We start from the raw sequence: 23,226 nt of genomic DNA, 5'->3' as shown, positions 1-23,226 counted from the left end.
AACGAGGAACTGGAGAGAGGCCTAGATCCAACTGTTCTTAAGGAAGGTATTAGAAAAGGGGGTGATGTCTTAGTTGTGTGAGATCAGAAGTGATGAGGGGAAGAACATTCTGCTCATCTGACAAGAACAGCAGCCTGGCATGTGACCGCAAAGGGACCGAGGACCCAGGAAACTCTGGAGATGCGACTTTTAAAGCCACAGATACGTTTTGGAGTAGGAGTAATTGGGGAACAATCCCTTAAAATATGACCACAGTGCCAAGTAGTTACAGAAAATCTGGGTATGTTTGAGAGGGGAAGTCTAGAGATAGCAATGTAAATACTCAAAATGCTATTAACTGAGTTTCAAGTTCTCTGTAGGTGGAAATACAGAAATTGCTGGGTCCTTAAGGAGCATCCCTGAGAAATGTATAGAATATGGGATCTAGGGAAGGCCCAGTCAAGATGAGATCTATTGGAGAGGAGCCAGACAGCACGTGGGTGGATCAAGCCCCAGCCTGGGTTAGATGCTGGCCTGACAAAATAGCTCCTGATGGTTCTATGCAGGGAGGTAAGTTAATATTTGTGACACACTTAGAACAGGGAGTCAAAAATGATATGTATGTGGTAAGGGATAAATATGTTTGTGCTAAAATAAGTTAAGTTAAAATGAACATTTTTATTTGCATAGTAGATAGAATTGGCAGATCCCAGACTCATCGATTTCATCTCTCTCACTGTGGGAAGCCCAACAAGACAAAATCTAGAGAAGCACATTAGGAAAACAAATGTCTGTGCAGAAAATAAAAGAAATCGTAAAAGGCAGTCCCATTCACCATTATCTATTCACGGCCTAGCCCTACAAGTGTTAGAGACGAGGGAGATCAACTCAGGAAGCAGGATAGAGGCAGCTCTTAGCAGGAAAAAAGGAGACAGGAGTGGCACATCCTTCTAAATAGAAAAAATATAGCAGAAAGAAAGGGGATTGAAAGCCATGGGCACTCCAAAATGAGGGAGGAGGGTATGTCAAGAAACATATGAGCAGTACTGGCCTTCACTGCATATGAGCAGTGCTGGCCTTCACCAGGGTTTGGGAAGGTGATTGATTCTCCAGCAGAAACAAATGTGAGGGGGTGGGGGAAGCTTCTCCAAGAAGCAGGCTCCATAGCTCCAAGCAGGTTCTGCCCCATGGCAGGACTGCAAACACCTGCACATGGGTGAGAGTGTCTGGGGACAGCTGGTCAACCAAGAGGGTGGGCCCTTGAATGTTACTGCTGTGATGGGATGATCATGCTAAGCAGGTTTCTCAACTTCACAGGAAGGCAGTGATGCCTCCAAGTCTCATTGTTTGAGATAGGAAAGAGCAGGCAGAGATGGTGTTTCCCCTGGGTAGTGGAAACAGCACCATCCTTAACGTGGATGGGGGAGTTACCCAGTTGAATTGAAGTGCAGACGTTGTGGATTCCAGACCCACAGGCACAGACCGGCTTCCTGGAATGACTAAAACCAAAAGGATTTTCCCATGCTCCTCCTTCACTCAGATATCACCGAGGGTCCTCTGTGGCTTTTGGAAGCATTAAACAGTGTACTTTAACATAATTTTGCCTGAGAAAATCTCCTTGTTTTCTAAATGTTATGAGGGAAAGCCCAGTACTTTAATAATTGCATCGATTCCTTGAATCGCTGGATCTAAAAACTGGGGAACATCAATTAATTACCAATGTGCTAACACAACCTTCAGAGAACCTGGAGGAATCCAGTCCAGTGAGCATTCCCAGGCTGCAGCTGCAGAGGGAGCCCCAACTCTACCAGGCATCTAGAACATTCCTGGGTGAGAAGAAGCTGAATAACAAGTAAGGGAAGATGGATTGGGACTTTACCTTAAAGAATACATATAATTTCTTCGGATTTTTCATCCATTTCTGCTTTACATTTGATTCCTTTGTGTTTCAATGTCTGTGAACATCAACTGATGAGGGACTTTGATTTTGCCCCCAAAATATATAATAGGAGAGGATTAATATTCAAATGTGGGGTGTATTAATCCATTTTCATGCTGGTGATAAAGACATACCAGAGACTGGGTAATTTATAAAGAAAAAGAGGTTTAATGGACACATAGTTCCACGTGGCCAGGGAGGCCTCACAATCATGGCAGAAGGCAAAAGCCACGTCTTACATGGTGGCAGACAAGAGAGAATGAGAACCAAGTGAAATGGCTTTTCCCTTATAAAACCATCAGATCTCATGAGACTTATTCATGACCACAAGAACAGCATGGGGAAAACTGCCCCCATGATTCAGTTGTCTCCCACCAGGTCCCTCCCACGACATGCAGAAATTATGGGAGCTATAATTCAAGATAAGATTTGGGTGGGGACACAGTCAAACCACATCACAGGGACATCTCCATTTTGTTAGCAGACGGTTATTGGAACATCTCTCAGGGCCATCAAGTTGCATAATCCTAGCAGGCACAATTCACATTGCTCATCAAGATAGGTTAAGTAATGCCAACATCACAAATGAACCCTGAAATTGCAGTAGCTCAACAGTGTAAAAAAATGGTCACTGGTTCTTGTCATAGAACATCATTATGAGGGCGAGGGTCTGTGCAGGGTCCCGGTCCCTTCATCTCAGGACACCCCCCTCCGAAACACACGGCCACCTCCTGGGGTCAAGTCTACGGCACCATCAAGGGCTTCAAGGAAGATTCAGAAAAAGCAAACATTGTTTTTGGGAAGGTGGTCTTAAAAATGAGAGCAGAGCTTCCCCCAAGGACTGTTCATCCCCCTAGGGGTCAGCCTATACTGACTGTAGGCTTAATGGTCAAGCCCAGTGGGTTAGGGAATCAAAAACTGAGGTAAACTAACAGGAAACATTTGTTCCCAACTTCTGATATTTCCTCCTACATGCAGGGAACACCATTAATGTAACATTTCTAGCTTCTGTCTACCTCCTCACTTACCCTTTGCCATGGGCAAAGAAGTAACCTGTGTTATAGGTTCAGGGAAGGAGCTGGCCTGCATAACTCAGCAATCTACTCCTTCCCTCTGCCCCTGGACCCAGCCTGCCTGAGGAGCACAGGATCCTGCCTGCTCTTCCAAGCTATACATTTGTACGGACGAGACCCCACATGGTGTCTGCTGCTTGCGGCCAGGTAGGAAGGCCTAATTCCAGCTTCAGCACTGGAAACCTTGTTGATACTGATATGCCTACATCTGCCTTATTGATACAACAGGGGACATTTTGGTCTTCATTTGTTTAACTACTGTTTTGTCTTACATCTGGATTCAGAGTGAGAATGTCAATCTCAATAGGCAGCTTCCAGAAACAATCTGGTTGGGATTTGGATTAGCTTTGTATTGAACTTATAAGTTAATTTGGGGGTAGGGTTGGGGGAGGAATTGGTAGTTTGATAATACTGAATCTTTCCATTAGGACATAGTTTTCTCTATATTTAATTTAATCTATCTTCTTTTATTTCTTTCATGGATGTTTTATAACTATCTTCACAGAGGTCTTACACATTTTCTACCTATTGGATACAATGTTCACTCTTCAGGTGATGGGTTCACTAGAAGCCCAGACTTCACCACTACACAATACATACATGTAAGAAGCCTGCACTTGTACCTCCTAAATCCTTAAAAATAAAACTTTAAAAATAAATAAGACTTAAAAAAATAAGTTTTCGGCAAGACCTAACTAGAAAAATGAGAAGACAGAGATATGACACTAAAAAAGAGAAATGAAGATAGTAAAGAGATTCTTAAAATTCCCACACAAATACATAATGTTTAAATTTATGCCAGAAAACTTGAAGGTTTTTATGAAACAGATAATTTCCCAGAATGTACATTTTAGAACGTTGGATAAAATCTAAATATACAAATAACTGTGAAATAAATTCTGCAACACACTCCATGTTTATTGCAGCACTATTCAAAAAAGCCAAGATTTGGAGCAACCTAAGTGTCTGTCAACAAACGAATGGATAAAGAAAATGGGATACATATACACAATAGGGTACTATTCAGCCATTAAAAAAAAAAAAGAATGAGTTTGGGAGGCTGAGGCAGGCGTATCATGAGGTCAAGAGATCGAGACTATCCTGGCCAACATGGTGAAACCCTGTCTCTACTAAAAATACAAAAATTAGCTGGGCGTGGTGGCGGGTGCTTTTAGTCCCAGCTACTCGGGAGTCTGAGGCAGGAGAATCAATTGAACCCAGGAGGCTAAGGTTGCAGTGAGCTGAGATCACGCCACTGCACTCCAGCCTGGCGACAGAGCAAGACTCCGTCTCAAAAAAAAAAAAAAAAAAAAAGAATGAGGTCCTGTCATCTGCAACAACATGGCTGGAACTGGAGGTCATTATGTTAAGTGAAATAAGCCAGCCACAGGACAAACTGAATGTTCTCACTTATTTGTGTGAGCTAAGAAAATTAAAACAATTGAACTCATAGAGAGTAGAATGATGGTTAGCAAAGGCTGGGAATAGCAGTTGGGGAAAGGGGTGTAGGGATGGGTAATGGGTACAAAAATATAGTTAGAGAGAATGAATAAGATCTAGCATCTGATAGCACAACAGGATGACTATAGTCAATAATTTATTAAACATTTAAAAATAAGAGTATAGTTGTTTATAACATATAGAAACAGGAAATGCTTGAGGTGCTGGATACCGCATTTACCCTGATGTGATTATTACACATTTTATGCCTGTAGCAAAAGATCTCATGTACCCCATAAGTATATACACCTACTATGTACCTGCAAAAGTTAAAAATACATAAATTGTATGAGTAGTTAAAAAAAAAAACCCTCTTTCTTAAAGAAAAAAAAGAAACTGGAACCATAATTCTTTTTAATGTCTTTACTATTCTTAACTGGTTTGGGATTAGTGTTATTTCCGGCCTTGCAGAAGTACAGATGTCTATATTTTCCAATGCTCTGGAAGTTTTATTTTATGGTAGTAAAATATACCAAAAAATTTACTATTCTTGACAGTTAGCATATTCACAACGTTGTGTAACAATCACTGCTCTCTAGTTCCAGAACATTTTCTGATTTTCTGGAATGATTTGTGTAACACAGAACTCTCTCATTTGAAGGTAACTTTATGTCCAACACTTTCTATGCCCATCAGATTTCATTTCTATTGGTCTCCTTCCTCTGTTTCTGAGAGAGATGGAGTGGTCTCCATTTATGACTACGGAATTTATGCATTCTTCTCATATATATATTTTTTATAGAGGTGGGGTCTTGCCATGTTGCCCAGGCTGGTCTCTAACTCCCGAGCTCAGGCACTCCTCCCATCTTGGCCTCCCAAAGTGTTGGGATTACAGATGTTGAGCCATCATGCCCGCCCCTCTTCTCATATTTCTAACAGTTCTCACTTTATATATTTCATAGCATGTGGGCATGTCTACATAAGTTTGTGATCAAAATGTTAAATTCTATTCTGATTAGCTTTCTCAGTCCAATCTGAGCACCTCAATCTATTTTTAGGTAAATTTAATCCACTTATATTTCTTTTGACTGTTGATATGTTTGGATGTTTGTCCCCTCCAAATCTCATGTTGAAATGTGATCCCCAATATTGGAGGTGGGGCCTGGTGGGAGGTGTTTAGGTCATGGGGGGCAGATTCCATCGTGCTTAGATTGCTTGGTGCTGTCCTCAGGATGAGTGGGTTCTCCCTGTGAGTTCACACGAGATCTGGTTGTTTAAAAGTGTGTGGCACCTCCCCACCTCTCTCTTGCTCCTGCTCTCACAATGTGTCTGCCCCCCTTCACCTTCCACGGTGATTGGAAGCTTCCTGAAGCCTTCACCAGGAGCAGATGCCAGCACCATGCTTCCTATACAGCCTGCAGAACCGTGAGCCAATAAACCTCTTATAAATTACCCAGTCTCAGGTATTCCTTTATAGTAACATACAAATGGACACACACACCTGCCATCTAATTTTGTTTCTTATTTGCCAAGATTTCCTGTTGTTCTCCCCATCCCCAACTGTTCTTTCCTTATGTTGGATTTCATTGATGTGGTGTTTGCTGTCTTCCCTTTAATGTTTTAGATGTTGGACATCCTTTCTTTTCTCCCAGTGGTCATCCGAAATGCTTAACATGCATATTTAAATGTTCCTTTTCTACCAGCATATTAATCAGTGCTGACCCTGTAAATCAAAAATTTCAGCTCGACTTCACTATTTTCTTAGTTTCTCCATCACTGATCACTCCCACCCCTGCTCCCATGTTGAGATCATTGCGGGTATGAGAGATTCATTCATTCACTGAGTGGGCAATGAATGAGCACATACCAGGAGCTGGGCAAATTCAAAGCTCTGGGCATGCAGCACTGAATGTTTCTTACAGAATTCCTACCTTCACAGAAGGAGACAAAAATAGCAAAAATGTATTCTATGTTAGTAGTTCCCCAGTATGGGATGGCCTCATTGGGAAGGTGACTTACGAGTAGCAAGAAAACATCAGGGTGTGGGAGAGTCCAAGGGATGAGCACTCCTGGCATGAGAGGCAGCAGGCCTGAGTGGGCACTTGCCTGGCAGGGTCCAGGGAGCTGATGGGGAGTGAGCAAGGGGGCCACTGGCCTTAGCCATGGCCGCATGCTTAGCCCAGGTCAGTGGAGCATGGGAAGCACGGCGGGAAGCGCTGCAGGGAATCAACCAGGCTGGCTGCTCCAAACCGCTCCCCCTGGTGATCATCCAGACAAATGCCCCAGGTCCCTTCCACTCTTTGCAGCCACCGTGAAGCTCAGAGTCCCCCCAAACTTTCTTCCCTTGGTGGCAGGCTTCTCTGCACATTCTGAGCTGGTTTCCTCCATATTTGTTCTCCTGCACGTCCAATGCAGTCTGCCTTTTTATCCTCAGGAATTCTGCAACATGTTAATATATTCCACTTTTATGGTTTTATTCTTATTTCTTTTCCAAAACTATCCATTTTAAGCAGCTAGTCCCCAGAGATGACTAGCCACACTACCTTATCTCGAAACAGTGCTATGAATACTCACCAACAAAACAATACATGCATTATAAGTTTTATTTATAAGACTGGAACAGACAAGAATATTAGTTTGAGGGTTTTTTCCAATTTAAATTAACTAATAAAGTGGGGAGAATGACACAAAAGCTGCTATTTACAAAAGACAAGTATATGATTAAAGAAGGTCAGTTTTTATTCCAAAATAGGAATAATGAGATATACAAAGTAATCATTTTATAAACATTGATCTAAATATTTAATACTCGCGGACTTTTTTTCTTAGGAAAAAAAGATTGACATCAACTCTTCGGCATCATCTTTTACAATCATTTATTCTTGGATTGTTATCCATTAGAGTGCTTATAAATGTCTAGGATAGATGTGTAAGAATGCATTCTGAGGCCAGGCGCAGTGGCTCATGCCTGTAATCCCAGCACTTTTGGAGGATGAGGTGGGCAGATCACCTGAGGCCAGGAGTTCACAAGACCAGCCTGGCCAACCTGGCGAAACCCCATCTCTACTAAAAAAAAAAAATACAAAAATTAGCTGGGCATGGTGGTGGGCGCCCATAATCCCAGCTACTCGGGAGGCTGAGGCTGGAGAATCACTTGAACCCAGGAGGCAGAGGTTGCAGTGAGCCGAGGTCATTGCACCATTGCACTCCAGCCTGGGCAGCAAGAGTGAAACTCCGTCTCCGAAAAAAAAAAGAATGCATTCTGATGATTAAATTGAACTGTCTTTAAACTTTTCCTTCAAGTTATGGGCCACTTCAAAAACAGTGTGGCATTGAGGGTAGGCAAGTGGGAGAAGGGAGACCTGGACTGCAGAGTCCAGAAGCCAGAACTTTGAACTGTGCTTCTAGCTCTTTCCAGCAGTGAGAACTTGGAAAGGTAGACTCTTTGCATCTCAACCTTCTCATCTTTCAAAGGGGATGAATAATTCCAATCACACAAGAAAGGACTGAACAAGATGAACAAGATGATCACTGTCCAGGCGCCGGGCAATGGGTGGCCTCTCAACTGTGGCTTTAAAAACCATTCTGGGGCAGGCACGGTGGCTCACGCCTGTAATCCCAGCACTTTGGGAGGCCGAGGCGGGCGGATCACGAGGTCAGGAGATCGAGACCATCCTGGCTAACATGGTGAAACCCCGTCTCTACTAAAAAATACAAAAAATTAGCCGGGCGTGGTGGTGGGCGCCTGTAGTCCCAGCTACTCGGGAGGCTGAGGCAGGAGAATGGTGAGAACCCGGGAGGCGGAGCTTGCAGTGAGCCGAGATCGCACCACTGCACTCCAGCCTGGGTGACAGAGCTAGAGTCCATCTCAAAAACAAAACAAAACAAAACAAAACAAAACAAAACCATTCTGTCAGTCTGTGAAGGGGTGAGCCCTAAGAAATACATCTCCCTGCCTCCTTCTCTCTTCTGTTCCCACCTCCTCTCTAGTCAAGTGAGATTCTTCCCTGAGGAACCAAACATTAGTAAGAGAAAATGAGCTACTTCAGCAACTGAAAACTAAACTCTAGTAAACTACAGTCATAAGTCTAGTTCTCATCAACTATTTTATATATCACTTTGGTTGTTTTCATTGTCTGTTTCAAGTAAGCAATGTGGTCCTTTCTCCTTTGTAAGGCTAATTTTAGGTCAACCTCTGTTAGCCTTATTTCCTCCCCGCCAACTCCCCCCCCAAAAAACCCTTTTAGTTTTAAAGAAAGCTTCTTTGCATTTTTGCCCTTTCTAAGAGGTAGGGTATTTACCCTATATTATTTTAATAGGATCATATTTGCTCTGAAGTAAATCAATTTGTTTAACTTTATTAAATTTGATGCCTTTGGGCTAGCCTCTGAAACAGCAAACTTATAGGCAATTAAATAATTGTTATTAAAACGATCTACTTATTTTTTCTTGTCTCCAGCCTTTACAGTTAAAATGTTCCTTTGGAATATTGCTTTGTAGGAGGTTACAGGGGAACCTACTTGGCTGAAATCCCATCTACTGAAATACTGGCACCGCTACAAAATAACCCAAGATTCTTTAGAACTAAGAGAAAAAAATCAGGTTTGTCCATGGAAGCACACGAATGGCAGGACAGGAAGTAAATCTTTGTTCCTCGTGAAATGGGCTTTAAAACAGCCCAGAGCAATGGGCTGGCCCAGAACTTGGGAGTCTCAAGTTTTCATTCTCACCCACTGCGGAGTCTTCCTGGCTCCCAGGACCACGGCCTCGGGGGCCCATGTGTACTAGGAGGGGCTGCACCTGGACAGTCCCTGGGGTCCATTCCAGTCAAACGCCCCACCGTTCCAGGCCTCCCTTTAGCCTCAACAGCATGAGGGCTCTGAGCACTCATCTCTTCAGAAAACTCGCCGCTGTCTTCCTCAGATGTGTCGTCCCGTCAGAAAAAAGAGCGGCCGGTCTTCCCTGGCATTGGCGGTCTGGAACTCATCGCGCAGCCGGAACTGCCACTCGTCCTCGAGCTCCAGGCGGACGACCGTCTGGCGCAGTGAGCTCCGGTCCTGACAGATGACACACAACGTCGCACCTGCGTGGACAACGGCAGAGGTGTGGGAAGGGAAAAGGTGAGTTTATCCAGAGGAAAGCGGCTGCCCGGATTCTACTTGCAATGACAAGACAGGGCGCTGTTGGGAAGGGCAGAAGCGGCATCCAAGTCGGCCCCTTGCTTCTTTCGGGATGATGTACAATCTTAGCGAGACAGGAGTGTGGCTGGGATGTGGCAGGTGTGCGGGGGAGAAAACACGGAGGCAGAAGGAAAGCCGAGCAGGGACTGAACCGAGGTGCGGAGAGGAAGGAGAGAGGCTGGTGGAATCGCAAACCAAGCATCCTCAGCCCCAGCCGGTAGCTCACATACCCCACCCTACCTACCCCACCTTACAGCTTCATCCCCCTCTTCTGCCACCCATCCAGGCCTGGGGCAGCCCCCACTGTCCCACGTGCCAGCCACAGGAATTCCCCTTCCTCTCAACTCCCAGCACCTGGCGACACCTCAACCCAGTCTCCTCCACACTGTCCCTCTCTGCTCCCTCCCCACCTTTGTGTCCAGTCCTCCCTTTAGATGAAATGTTTCCCAAGGCAGAGACTGCTGTAAAACCTCTTGATCTTTCCCAAGGCCTTAGATGCTGCTGGTGCTCATTCAGTGCCTGCTAGAGGGGAAGGTCAGAGCCAAGGGCCACCAAGGAAAGCGAAGGTCAGCTAGGGATCTGAGCAGGACTGGAAATGCAGACTGGAAATCGTGTTTTCAAGTCATGCAGAACAAGTGCTTGTCATTCTCAACCAAGCTGGTGCAGACAGGAGGAAGACTGGCGTAAAAGCCAAGGTGGTGTGGCACCTCCCAGGATGAGGAGAAAGACTCGTCTACCAGGAGGAAGAGTGTCAGCAACGACTGGGACACCGATGTGAAGGATTTGGGTTGGAAAAGAACACACATGGCTGGTGCGGTGGCTCACGCCGGTAATCCCAACACTTTGGGAGGCCGAGGCAGGTGGATCACCTGAGGTCGGGAGTTCGAGACCAGCCTGGCCAACATGGCAAAACCCTGTCTCTACTAAAAATAAAAAATTAGCTGGGTGTGGTGGCGGGCACCTGTAATCCCAGATACTCGGGAGGCTGAGGCACGAGAATCACTTGAACCCAGGAGGCAGAAGTTGCAGTGAGCTAAGATCGTGCCACTGCACTCCAGCCAAGGTGACAGAGCGAGACTCCATCTCAAAAACCAGAAAGAAAGAAAGAAAAGAAACACAAAGGCTAAAAAATGTCCGCAATTCATCTAAAAGAAAGGGGGATGTGTCTTGCCTCTACCCAAACAGGTATAGGGGAAAGAGAGCCCCCGGGGATCAAATCCCAGCTCTCTTGCACTTCCCTGGGTGGCTGAGGCAGTCACTTCCCTCTCTGATCCTCAGTTTACCCATGGGCAAATAAGGACTAGGACCAAAGGTCCCCTCCTCAGGGTACCCGGTGACTACAGCCATTGAAGACAAGGTGCAGAGTTAAGAGTACAAAAGTTACCTTTCAGAAAATGAAACTTTTTCAAAAAGCTAGCTCCCACAAAAGAGTCACAGAGGTACAGCAGCAGCCCACTGAACAGCAAGTCCGAGCAGCTGATGTTTAAAGAGTGGGGCCTGGAGCTCACATAGCAAACAGAAATCTGAAAAAGAAGAAATCCAAGAGAGGGCACCGTTTTCTATGAAATGCTCAGTAACATTATACTACAGGTTTGCACCTAGTAAATACCAACTGCTTGGTCCAGCTCAAGATTTTTGGGGGGCCAGAGACAATATTTTCATGTTATTTCCAAATCTGTATCTGAAAAATAAATTCTGGAAGTTTTATCCAGATTTATCTAGTCATGAGTTCATCTGAGAATCAGAATATTTAGGCCGAGTGCGGTGGCTCACTCTTGTAATCCCAGCATTTTGGGAGGCCGAGGCGGGTGGATCCCCTGAGGTCAGGAGTTGGAGACCAGCCTGGACAACATAGTGAAACCCTGTCTCTACTAAAAATACAAAAATTAGCCAGGCGTGGTAGCATGTGCCTGTAATCCCAGCTACTTGGGAGGCTGAGGCAGGAGAATCACTTGAACCCAGGAGGCAGAGACTGCAGTGAGCTGAGATCGTGCCATTGCACTCCAGCCTGGGCGACAAAAGTGAAACTCCATCTCAAAAACAAACAAACAAACAAACAAACAAAAGTTTGGGCATCAGAATTGGGCTGGCTTCCTATCGTCTTACTTCCAGGCAAAGCATCTCAGTTCTCTCAGCTGAATGGCAAAACCTACAAAGTGGGGTCAACCCCGAGACGAAGGAGTTGAGGACTTAGGATTCAGAGTCCCAGATTCCAGCCCATTGGTTCTAGAGATTTCTCTGAATTAGGGATTCGACAGCACCCCCTCTGAAAGTCACCTGAGATCCCAGGTTCAGGTAACAGTCGACAGACAGCACTGGGTGGTCATGGTTCTTCAGGGACAGCGGGAAGAAGAGGTGGCTGTGGTGCTGCAGGAACTTCTCCAGCAGGAGCTGGGCGGGCGCTGCGAGGAACGTGTGCTTGCTGTCCGGGGCACAGATGTACTGGGCCGGCACGACCGCGGCAGAGTTATCAGACACCTGCACGGGAAGGGGGGTGTCAGGCCACTACTGCCCTGAGGGGCGAGGACCTTCCCATGGCTTCCGGGCTGCAAGGGTGGCCCAAGCATGGGAGCTTGTGTCACTCAGGGGAATGAACTGAGAACACATACTTCAAGAATAAACTTCTCTATTGAGAAAGATTAGGTTTTACTCAAAGGAAACATGAAACAGACACGTCAAAACGAACCACCCTAATCAGTAAGAATTATAGACACTGATCATTCCATGCAGGAAACCAGCTTTCTGGTCTAGAGAAAACAAGAGAACCCATGGGTCTGGGGGATGCAAGCCTCTGGGAGTGGCCAGCTCCCCACCAAAGGTCCTGTCCCCATCCCGCCCAGCCCCGGGGCTCTTCCCACCCACAGTCAGCATCCCAGCCACAGGCTCTTGCTCCATCACCAACACGTTTACATCTACGTAAATCAGACTCTCACTGCTTCCCTCCCGTGAGTCCTAGAGAAAAGTCTGGAACTTTCCCATAGCTGGGAAGGCCTGCCTACTTCCTCAGCTCCTCTCCGCCACCCTCCTCCCCTTCCTCCATACCGACCTCCTCGCTCCTACCCTTCTGCACCTTCACCCACTGAAGGCATCCTGTCCCTGCCCCTGCCTCTGCCCCTGCCCCTGCCTCTGTCCCTGCCCCTGCCTCTGTCCCTACCTCTGCCCATGCCCCTGCCTCTGTCCCTGCCCCTGCCTCTGTCCCTACCTCTGCCCATGCCCCTGCCTCTGTCCCTGCCCCTGCCTCTGTCCCTGCCCATGACCCTGCCTCTGTCCCTGCCCCTGCCTCTACCTATGTCCCTGGCTCTGTCCATGCCCCTGCCTCTGTCCTTGCCTCTGCCCCTGCCTCTGCCCATGTCCCTGCCTCTGTCCCTGCCCCTGCCTCTGTCCCTGCCTCTGCCCCTGCCCATGCCCGTGCCCCTGCCCCTGCCCCTGCCCTTGCCCCTGCCCATGCCCATGCCCTTACCCCTGCCCTTGCCCCTGCCTGGGCACGTGGCTCACTCTCTTCCTCCAGGTCTCCTTTAACATCACTTCCCTGGGGACTCCCACAGACTCAGGTCTCCCCGCGACACACACTTCACCTTTGTGGTGCTTCTCCCGATGGTCCTTAACTAGCCATGTGTCTAACATCTGCCCCAGCTGCTGGGCTGGGTACTCCTGAGCATGGGGATTGGCTGCTCACTAAATATTTAGTGAATAAATGAAAACAATGCAGTGATTTCACTCACATGAAAGACTGTAAGACATGACTAGCTTTCTTATGCATAACCAATATACAATCAAACATAATAGAAAATTAAGATTATGTTTCAATAATAAAGATAAAATACCTAAGAGTTTAAAAATGACACTGAAGGACACAAAAGAAAAGTTCGTTTTAAAGCCACATCTGGCCCTTTGGTGGAGACCCTGGTAAAGGTGTCTGTTCTCCCTGATTAAACAACAAACCTCACACAATCGTAAGATCTCAATGATGCTGTAAGTGGGGGCCTTTATTTAAAGGTCTTGTTACTTTGCAAGAACAATGAGGAGAGGCCCCCAACTCCCGGAAAAGGGGCAATCCCTGACTCTGGGGGTCAGTGGAGATGGAGCTGGTGTCCCAATTCAGACCCAGCCCACCTCAGCGTAGCTAACTCCATCAGGAGTTTACAGAGACAAGGAGGGATAGAGCCTGGGAAAGGCAGCTGGTGGCATTAGGGCAGGATCAAGACAGACAGAAGTGACAGAGAAAGGGGCTCTGGCCCACGGGACTGGGGAGAACTTCGGGCAGAGACACACCTGCTGCATTGCTTCCTGGAAGACACAGAGCTATCAAGACTTGCTGTGATTTTACGTCTTAATTCCCCAGGCCTGCTCAGCTGGAACACACATAATCATACCAGGTCTCTCCCCACCCCGAGGCTGCCCAGTGGACACATAGTATGACTATGGGGCCAGCCTGCAGAGCCATTCAAATAGTTATGCAACTAGGCACCATCCCAGGGGCCCAAGGAAGAGCGTGGCCTGAGACCTCACCCAGCTGGGGCAGGTGAGAACACACAGGAAGGCTTGGTTGTAGCCTTGCACCCAGAGGAAGCTTGCAGGATACTGGTTAATGTCAGAGGTAGAAGAGAGACCCCATCATTTCCCAGGGCTCAATGCCGATTAAAAACCTTTACTGACCCCACCCAGTAGGGCCCTGCCCCATGCGCTTGAAAGAGACATGGCCTCCCTCAATGGCTCCTACCCTCAGTGTGTGTGCCAGGGCGGCCCAGGCGGTGGACATAGAGGCCTGCCCAGCAGCGAGGAGCTCACCTTGGATGTGATGTGGAAGGACCTGTGGCCGCCCACCACGATCTGCTTCTTCATCACGCTGAAGCGGTTGAACCGGCAGAGCAGGAGGCCGGCGCTGTGCACCCGCAGGTTGAAGTCTACATCGTCACACAGGAACCTACTCAGGGCCAGAGGAGGGGTGGGTCTGATGGGGCACAGCTCACACCCTCCGTCACTGCCCCCAGCACCTAGAGTGTGGGTCCCCATCGTAGGGGGCTATGAAGGTGGAGTGGGCTTCATTCTTGCCTCAAGACCTTCCTTACTCTAGGGGAAATATGAGGCAAAACAGACAAGGAAAACGCACAGGACAGACAGGGCCATCTCTGCACAGGAAAGGCAGTGTGTACCTCATGCTTAAACCACAAAAGCACTGCCCGTGGTGACCAGAGGCCAAGGGCCAAGTGCACGTGAGAAACGTTACCAACACGACCTCACGCATCGGTGAAAAAGAAAGCAACAAAAAACCTCCCAGGGTAAAAACGTGAGCTGCTTTTTACAGCTAAGAAGAATAGGGCTTGGAGGTGAGTGGCCTGCCTGCGCTGCAAAGCTAATACGCAGCAGAACCCCGGTTCTTGGAGGCGCAGTCAGTCTGGCTCCAAAGCCCACCCTCTTTGAGAGGCTCACGCAGGCCGTGGTCCACTGCCCAGTGGAGAGGTACTCCGTGAACACTGAGCAATTGAATCCTCTGGAGATGTGAGCACTTCTGCGACTAGATATGTACAGAAACCTACGGAAATTATCATTTTCTTCAGGGCTAAAGCTTCTAAAAAGCAATGTATTGGGAGAATGAACCAAAAAGGCAAGAAAAACACACAGTCCAATATAACTCACTCAATAAAGCATCATGAGAATTGGTGAATGAAGCTGAATGATCTGCGAATACTCAAAATTATTCAGCACTAAAAAAACTGGGACAACGGAGAGCAAGGCCAGGTCAGTGCTCACAGCCAGGACGCCTCTGCAGCCCCAGGCTGCCCTCACTCAGGACTCTGCGCCCCCAGGGCTGCCGCCGCCTCTGCCCCAGGTGCAGGAGCTCACCGGTTCTGGTTGTACTGCACGTTCTGGGTCAGGTCCACGTTCAGGATGATGAAGTTGTGCACGTGGCAGCGGGAGAAGGGCTCTTGCACCTCGCTGGCCCGGGTCTTGCTGGACCACTTCCGCAGGCCCAGCAGGGCGTAGTGCATGATGTCGGGGGCCGCCTCGATGTGCTGCATGATGTGCTTCAAAGACACGTTCCTTTCCGACCAGGAGAACTCCCTGCTCCAAGGAGGGAGAGTGAGTCCCTAGGCTGACACACGAGCAGCAGCAAGGTCCTTGGGACCAGGCAGTGTGGCACCGGCTCTCAGACTGCCGTGAACACCTGGACGGGCCGGTGCCCCGCACAGTCCCCCCAGGGCCAGGCACCCTGCTGGGCGCTTCCCACGGGCGCTCATTTCTGCTATGTGCTGAACACATTTGCAGACCATAATTTAGTCAATTCTCACAACAACTCCATGGCATAGGTATTAATCGCAGACAAGGAAACTAGAACCCAACATGATTTAGCCATTTGCCTAAAGCCACACAGCAAATAAAAATAAAGCTAGGAGTCAGCAGTCAGGCTAGTGAGGAGGGGTGGGGCTGGGGCAGCAGGAAGGGAGTTTCTGGGGGGGCAGCAATGTCCCTTTCTTAATATCGGAGTAGGTTAAATGAATGTGCTTAGCTTGGGAAAAGTTCTGTATATGTATTATACTTTCTTTTTTGTCTATATATTATACTAAATGGATAGTGTGATTTTCTGCATTATACTTCAATAACAATTTTTTTCTTTCTTTTTTTTTTTTTTAGACGGAGTCTCGCTCTGTCTGCCAGGCTGGAGTGCAGTGGCGCCATCTCCACTTACTACAAGCTCCGCCTCCCGGGTTCACGCCATGCTTCTGCCTCAGCCTCCCAAGTAGCTGGGACTACAGGCGCCCGCCACCACGCCCAGCTAAATTTTTTTGTATTTTTAGTAGAGACAGGGTTTCACCGTGTTAGCCAGGATGGTCTCGATCTCCTGACCTCGTGATCCACCCACCTCAGCCTCCCAAAGTGCTGGGATTACAGGCATGAGCCACCGCGCCCGGCCCAATAACAATTTTTTAAAATTAAAAGCAAGCCAGGCTTGGCACATGAGCTCACTTTTACCACACCCAGGACTCTGGGAACCACAACCACAACCACCCCTTCTACTATGAGAGGCCCTCCGGTCTTCCAGGGGTGGGCACATTCCCCATACAAAGAGGGCACACTCGTTGGTCATCATTCGTAGGGTGGCAGGAGGTGGTGCTCTCAGGTTACCTCACCTGCTTCTCTCCCCAGCAGAGTTGACATCCACCACGTTCCACATCACGCAGGAGTCATCAGAGATCACAATGAAAGGCCAGATGTCCTGCGGCTTGATTCCCAGCTCCTCCTGCCGGTTCCGCTCGAGCTCCAGGTTATGGTAGGACAGCTCCTTGATGAGGAAATGAGCAGCACCTGCAGTGGGCAAAGCACCTGGACTCAGGACTGACCTGCACCCACACCCACAGCAGACAGACCCCAGGCAGACCTGCTGTCGGGGCCGCCCAGACAAGCCAGCCCCGACCTTCCTGACATGAATCACCTGTCACAAAACACAGCCCATGGGCTAGGGAGAGAAAACTACAGGGAGGAAAACACTCCTCTCCAGGTGGAACACAAATTTGCTTTCTTATGCTTTCTTCTCTAACCATTGAAAATATCAATTTGGCCAGGCGCAGTGGCTCACGCCTATAATCCCAGCAGTTTGGGGGGCCGAGGCAGGCCAGTCACCTGAGGTCAGGAGTTTAAGACCAGCCTGGCCAACATGGTGAAACCCCGTCTCTACAAAAACACAAAAATTAGCCGGGCGTCATGGCTGGCGCCTGTAATTCCAGCTACTCGGGTAGCTGAGGCAGGAGAATCGCTTGAACCCGTAAGACAAAGGCTGCAGTGAGTCGAGATCATGCCGTTGCACTCCAGCCTGGATGACAGAACGAGACTCCATCTCAAAAAAAAAAAAAAAAAAAAAGAGAGAAAGAAAGAAAGAAAATATCGATTAAATGGATAACCAAACACTGGGTGCGGGTAGCGGGGGAAGACTGCATAAAAAAGTCAGACAAAATGAAAATAGCTTTAAAAGTCCAAAAGTAAAAGGCCTGATGTCACATGTTTAACTTTTGTCTCTAGAACACTCTCTCAAGTGTTCGTTCACAGGAGTTTGACTGAGTAGATGATGTTAAAGGACACTCACCAACTCCAGCACTGTTGAAGATACTGGGGAGCACCAGCATGATGTGGTTGGGCCAATATTTCTTATAAATTGCCATCTCGTATTCCTTGACAACCAGCACGTGCAAATGGCTGGCACCGTCCATTGCGTGGTACAGATTAAAGAGCCCATGTTCGTGACGGCCGGTGGTTGGAGTGAATGTCGGACTTTTTATATATTCATGGCTCTGCAAAGTACAGGTATCATGAGGTAGAGTGTTTGTAAATGTGGCTGCAATTATTCCCTTGACATGTGACTTTGCAGTATTTTCCGTCAAAGAATGATGACCATGCCTACACTGCTGGAATTTTCAGCCTTGTGACTTGCTTTTACCAGTAAAAGGGAGGAAAAATGGCCTTGTGCCAGTCCTGGGCATAGCCTCAAGAGGACTTACATGTTCCACACCCTCTCAGAACTCTCCCATGCACAAGCCCGGGCTAGCCTGCTGGACGATGAGAGACCACATGGAGGAGAGCTGAACAGCCCAGCTGAGGCCACCAGCCAGCCCGCAGACAACCTGCTGGCTCACTATCGACACGAGTGAGTGAGCACAACAGAGCCCAGAAAATCATCCGGCTGAACCAAGCCCAAACTGCTAGCCCACAGATCCCAAAGCTAATGCTTATTTGGGAATAGTTAGGCAACGGAAATTAACTGGCATATAGCAATTAACCAAATTCATTACCCTCTCATATTAGAATCTAATATTGTGCCCAGAGCACACATTATTCTTGTATGTCTTTAATTTTCCATGCAAATGAACACACAACACCCCCCAATCACTGCCCCATAGAGCTTAGCTATCCACTCGGGTTGTTATATCTTTTATGTAAATAACTGTTTTCTTCAACTCCTTCTTTAACAATAAGTTCAACTGGCAGAGCTAGGCCTTCTGCTCCCTCTGAATTCCTCAGAGCACCTGCCACAACACTGTGCATGCAGCTGGTGCTCATGGCCAGCTCCGCCAGGAAGGCTGGAAGGTGAGTGGAGTGGTGGAGAAACCCCAGCTCTCATATTTCACCCCTGGAATTTCACCGCAACACCCAACCCCAGCCCGTGGGGTAGGAGGTACCTAACAATGAAGTCCTCTTGGGTACATTACAAATATTTTCACTGCTTAATAACAGGCTGCCAGATCTGAAAGGCCAGGGGCAACTCCACAGGTGCCTAGCACTCTGGAGAAGGAAAAGCAGCTTCTCCACATGGCCTGCCTTGAGCGGGGCTGGTTAAAGAGCAGCCAACTGACTCTGAGGTGATCAGGTGAGCACCGTCAAACCAAAAGCTCTACAAGGAGCATCTCTGTAAGAATGGTGAGAGACAATGGAACGTTCAGAACGACCTCTTCAAAAGATAAAGGAAATGTGTCTTTTAGAGAGACACACTGAAATATCTATATCTATAGGTATAAATATGTATAGATAGATGACATGATTTGAGGTCTGGGATTTACTTCCAAACAAAACAGGAAGGCAGAAGAGGAGAGAGGGACGGATGAAACAAGGCTGGCCATGAGTTAGCAATTGCTGGAGTTGGTAATGGGCCCTAGGGATTCACTGTGCTGTCCTATCTACCTAAGCCTACGCAAAATGTTACCTGGCAGAGCATTCAAGAAAAGACAGGGAGGGGATGAACGTCTACCCAGCTCCTGTTATCTTCCGGGCACGGAAGATAGGGCCTTTCATCAGTTATTCCAAACAGTTCTCACCACAAGCTTTTGCAAGTTGCTACTCTCCAATGTAACAATGAGGAAACCAAGGCTTGCAGATATTAAGTGACATGTTCAAGTAACAAAACTAGTAAATGGTAGAGCAAGGCTGAGGCTTGAATTGGAGTGACTCCAGAGCCCGTGCGCGACACCAGCCTCCTCCAAGTTCAGTCCCTGTATCGGTGTCTGCACTCCCTCACAGGAAGCTCTGTCTCTAGTCCCCGGCTCAGTCCCCAGTTGAAGCCACTTGGATCTGTCCCACTAGGTCTCTGAGCCAGTACCTTGTCTGTCACGAGGGGTAGTCGCATGCTCTCCAGCTGGCCTCCAGGTTGGCTGAAGACAAAGTGGTGCTCCTTGGACTTGGGGATGATGAAGTGCAGCTGGATCTCCTCTCCTAGCATGGAGTAAGAGAAGGCAAAGGCGTGCAGGGTGGACTCATACAGCTGGGGTGTGGGGGAAAGGACAGAGCTTGCCGTCAGAGTCCGGCCTGCTTCCCAGAAGACCCCAGGCCCACTCTGCTGTGACAACGTGCAGCTCACAGTCACCACTTCCCTACAGCACAAGAAACCCACGGGGTGACTCCAGTGCAAAGTGCAGACACCCAGGTCTGTTGACAGGGCAAGCACGCCCGAGGCCACACACCCACGACGAGAGCCTGCTCCCATCCTCAGTCCGCATGGGGCCTCACCCTGCTGTGCCAAGCAGGCATCAAGCTTTCTGGTCCCCGTGGCTTTGAACCTGACCAGAGCCCTGTTCTGGGTCACCAACTCAAGCATTCATGCTACAGAGCTCATTTTTAATTCTAATAAATGTATTTCTCCATCACAGTTACATGCAATCACATATTAACACTAGCTGCATATGCTTGGACACTCCTATAACACGGCTCGCCAGGCACCGTTCTGTCCTGTGTGCTGCGATTAACAATCCTACAAAGCAGTACTGTCATCATCCCCATTTTACAGGTGTGAAAACTGACATTCAGAGACCTTGGGCTCTGTCACCAAGTCACCAAGTCTGGCTGCGCCCTTAGTCACCTCCTCCAGCCTCCACTTCCCAGGAGCCTCACACCCCACATCTGTGCACGTGCTGCTCTGGGTGTGACCTCCAGCGCAGCTTTGCCCTCAGCTTGAACGTCCTCTTACGACCCCACCGACCCACGGCCCTTCCTACTGACATCCCCTCCTAGCATGTGCTATGCATGCATCCAGGGTCTGCAGGGAAGGAGGCAGACGAGCACACACTGCTTTAATCTCTGCCATGGCTCTTCTAGACCCACAGAGCCCTTTCTTTGGGAGCAGAGATGAGGGAGAAAGGGATTTTGACTCGGGGAGGCAGTTAAGGAGGACACACTGAGGCAGTTTCATAAAAAAGGTCAAGGGAGCCTTGGGAGGCAAAGGAAGAGAAAACAGAACGAGCAGGTGCAGGCCACATGGAGAGGGCAGCCAGGGGGCCACGCGGCCTCTGCACCCGCACCAGCTGGTTTCAAGCCCCCTCACCGTCCCAGGCATGCTCCTCTTCCACTGTGGCCCCCAGACCTGCGCACCCCTGAGAACACAGGCCAGGCACAGCCCAGCCGGCTGCCTCTCCTCCTCCTCTGCACTCTGGTGTCTGTTGATGCAGCCCGAGGTCCTGATGGCACTACCCACTCCTGACACTGACAGGGATGAGTAGGGACTGACACCCTTCAGTCCCTTTCAGTTCCCTACATTTCAAAATCAAGGACGTGTTTTCATGTATGTTTTTGTTTGCCTTAAAAGAAAAACTACATCTCCAAGAAACAAAATGTTAGGAGAGTTTATCTGGAACAAATGGGATTACTGATTATTTTGACCCTTAAAAAATTGCTCATATGTTCTTTCTTTCATCTACAGTACAATTGCACACTCAAACAATGAGTGCTGCGTCCCCGGCAGCCAAGCTCAAGGCCAGGCAGACAGGTGCTGTTTCCCTCTGTAAAAGGGATGGAAAGAGAGGCCAGTGCTCTTGCCTCAGGCCTTTCTGAAAGCAGCCCAGGACATCAGCTACCCTACATGCCTCTGCTCCCCAGCCAGGCATCTGACTAGCTCCCACCAACTCTGGCTCTCTCCCTCCACCCCTCTCTCCCTTGCTCGGGTCTGAAATGAAAAGAAATATTCAATGTAAAATAAATCCTCTGCCCTGTTTATAAATAACCAGCCTCACAGGCCCTCCATACACCTCCATGGGACTAAGAGACCAGTCTAAACACAGCTCTGCCCACACTGGGCTCCACTTGGAGTTCCCACTGAGAGAGTCCTCGTTCCTCCCCACAGTGCCCACCAGGCATTTTGTGGTCTGGCCTCTGCCTGCCCTCCGAGTTTCGTGGCTGAGTGTACCCACCCCAAAGTCTGGGTTCCAGAAACACCCAACCCACATCACTTCCCATCCCCTGGAAACCCCACCTCCCCTCTCCCACACATGCTGTCCCTCTCCCTTCATCTTATTAATTCTTGGCACCTTGGCAAATTCTTATTAATTCTTCCAAATCTTCTCTCTTCCGCTCCCGACCCAAACAGGATCCTCATTTATAAAACAGGGACAATGAAATTTTAGTGTGAAGTAAATAGGACACTAGATAGGACAGCTCCCATCCAGCACACCTTGGGTGGCTTGCAGGCGTGGCTTCAGGTGACCCACCAGGGCCTGAGGCAGCCAGAGCCCTGGGTCAGGAGCCTTATCCATTTCTATGTGTCCAGGATAAATATTTTCTATTGCATAAAAGGTTGGGAGAGACTGATATATAAAAAGTGCCTAGGCACATTGCCTGGCATGCAGTAGGTGCTCAATAAATGCAAATTCCTCCTCTTATCAATGGATTTCTGTGCCTCAACCATAGTACTCCTTTTGCCTGCTTCATATCGTTAGGTTTTGCTTATGTGCACATCTCCCTTCTAGACTGAGCATGGAGGATGGGGACAGAGTTGATTCAGCTCTGCAGCCCCAGTGCCTGGTACAGAATAAGCACCTGGTGAGCATCTGTTGCATTGGACTAACTTCTGAAAGCATTGGGACCTAAAGATGACGACCACCTCCACGGTCGGGTAACTTGGCCACTGATAAACACACAACCCCAGGAGAACCGTGGTGCTCTAGTTCCAGCAATCATTTCACAGACAATTGAAGGGAACAGAGGATGCAAGCAGACCAGGAAGCCAGGGCTTCCAGAACTCTCTATCTCCCACTCTGGAATGAAAGCGTGAGAGAGCAGGGGAACGGACAATGTGAGCCAAGGTGAAATGCCTGGTGGGGAACTGCTGGGGCCTACCTGGTAGCGGGGGTGGAAGCCCATGTACTGGTGGCACTGCTCACAGTGGTGGTAAGTGTTGTACGCTGCGTACTTGGACAGTCTCATCCGTGCCGTCTGACGCCGCACATAAAGGTCCTCCGGCTTCCGGGACATCCCTCTGTCTGCACCAAATTCCCCAGGATTAAAAAGCAGCAGGGAGCAAAGCAAACATTATCCCCTGCCTGCTCAAACAGAAACCAAAAATGCTCAAATGACCAGACAACAGGATTCTGTCTGGTTGGGGAGGACTGCCTCTCACCTCCCTGGGCCCTGACGTGACAGCTGGTCAAAGGAGACAACGAAGGGCCACAAAGTGTCAGTGGAATAAACTAATTAAGGCACTGTCCATATCATGTCTTACTGTAGACTAAAAATATTTCATCAGCACCTATGTAAAGATCCGCTATACAACAATTTAAATCGATTGCCAACTTAACATGCCAGCTCTGAATGCAGATGAACTGCCCCTTGTTTTTCTGTTTTTGTTTGTTTTTTGGAGACAAGG

At 48.3% G+C, this 23,226-nt stretch overlaps 1 protein-coding gene across 20 annotated transcripts in view, besides 1 other annotated feature; it reads right to left on the bottom strand.

Annotated features, from left to right (window-relative positions):
- GREB1 (growth regulating estrogen receptor binding 1) overlaps positions 7,017–23,226 on the bottom strand; it is a 159,901-nt gene continuing 143,691 nt past the window's right edge. For 19 of the 20 annotated variants that reach the window (XM_047446466.1, XM_024453251.2, XM_047446468.1 and 16 more), the window contains 9 exons: positions 22,701–22,843; positions 19,696–19,857; positions 17,692–17,896; positions 16,742–16,916; positions 15,456–15,674; positions 14,400–14,535; positions 11,889–12,089; positions 10,996–11,134; positions 7,017–9,514 (listed from right to left, as the gene is read on the bottom strand). In XM_047446466.1, coding sequence (XP_047302422.1) covers positions 9,351–9,514; positions 10,996–11,134; positions 11,889–12,089; positions 14,400–14,535; positions 15,456–15,674; positions 16,742–16,916; positions 17,692–17,896; positions 19,696–19,857; positions 22,701–22,843 — 1,544 coding nt within the window. In that variant the 3' untranslated portion in view covers positions 7,017–9,350. Of the gene's footprint in view, positions 9,515–10,995; positions 11,135–11,888; positions 12,090–14,399; positions 14,536–15,455; positions 15,675–16,741; positions 16,917–17,691; positions 17,897–19,695; positions 19,858–22,700; positions 22,844–23,226 lie in introns of those variants that run through there. The other variant, XM_047446469.1, reaches the window with a different exon arrangement.
- Positions 17,561–18,760: an enhancer, noted in NCBI's record as "MED14-independent group 3 enhancer chr2:11771171-11772370 (GRCh37/hg19 assembly coordinates)". NCBI's record gives its function as "activates an origin of replication core promoter dependent on BRD2, BRD4, P300/CBP and CDK7 cofactors, and independent of MED14, by STARR-seq in HCT116 cells {active_cell/tissue: HCT116}" and the evidence as "EXISTENCE:reporter gene assay evidence [ECO:0000049][PMID:35650434]".

This window comes from Homo sapiens, chromosome 2 (assembly GCF_000001405.40).
Source record: "Homo sapiens chromosome 2, GRCh38.p14 Primary Assembly".
In the NCBI taxonomy this organism is placed as follows: domain Eukaryota; kingdom Metazoa; phylum Chordata; class Mammalia; order Primates; family Hominidae; genus Homo; species Homo sapiens.
This window is presented reverse-complemented; position numbering and strand designations above follow the sequence as displayed.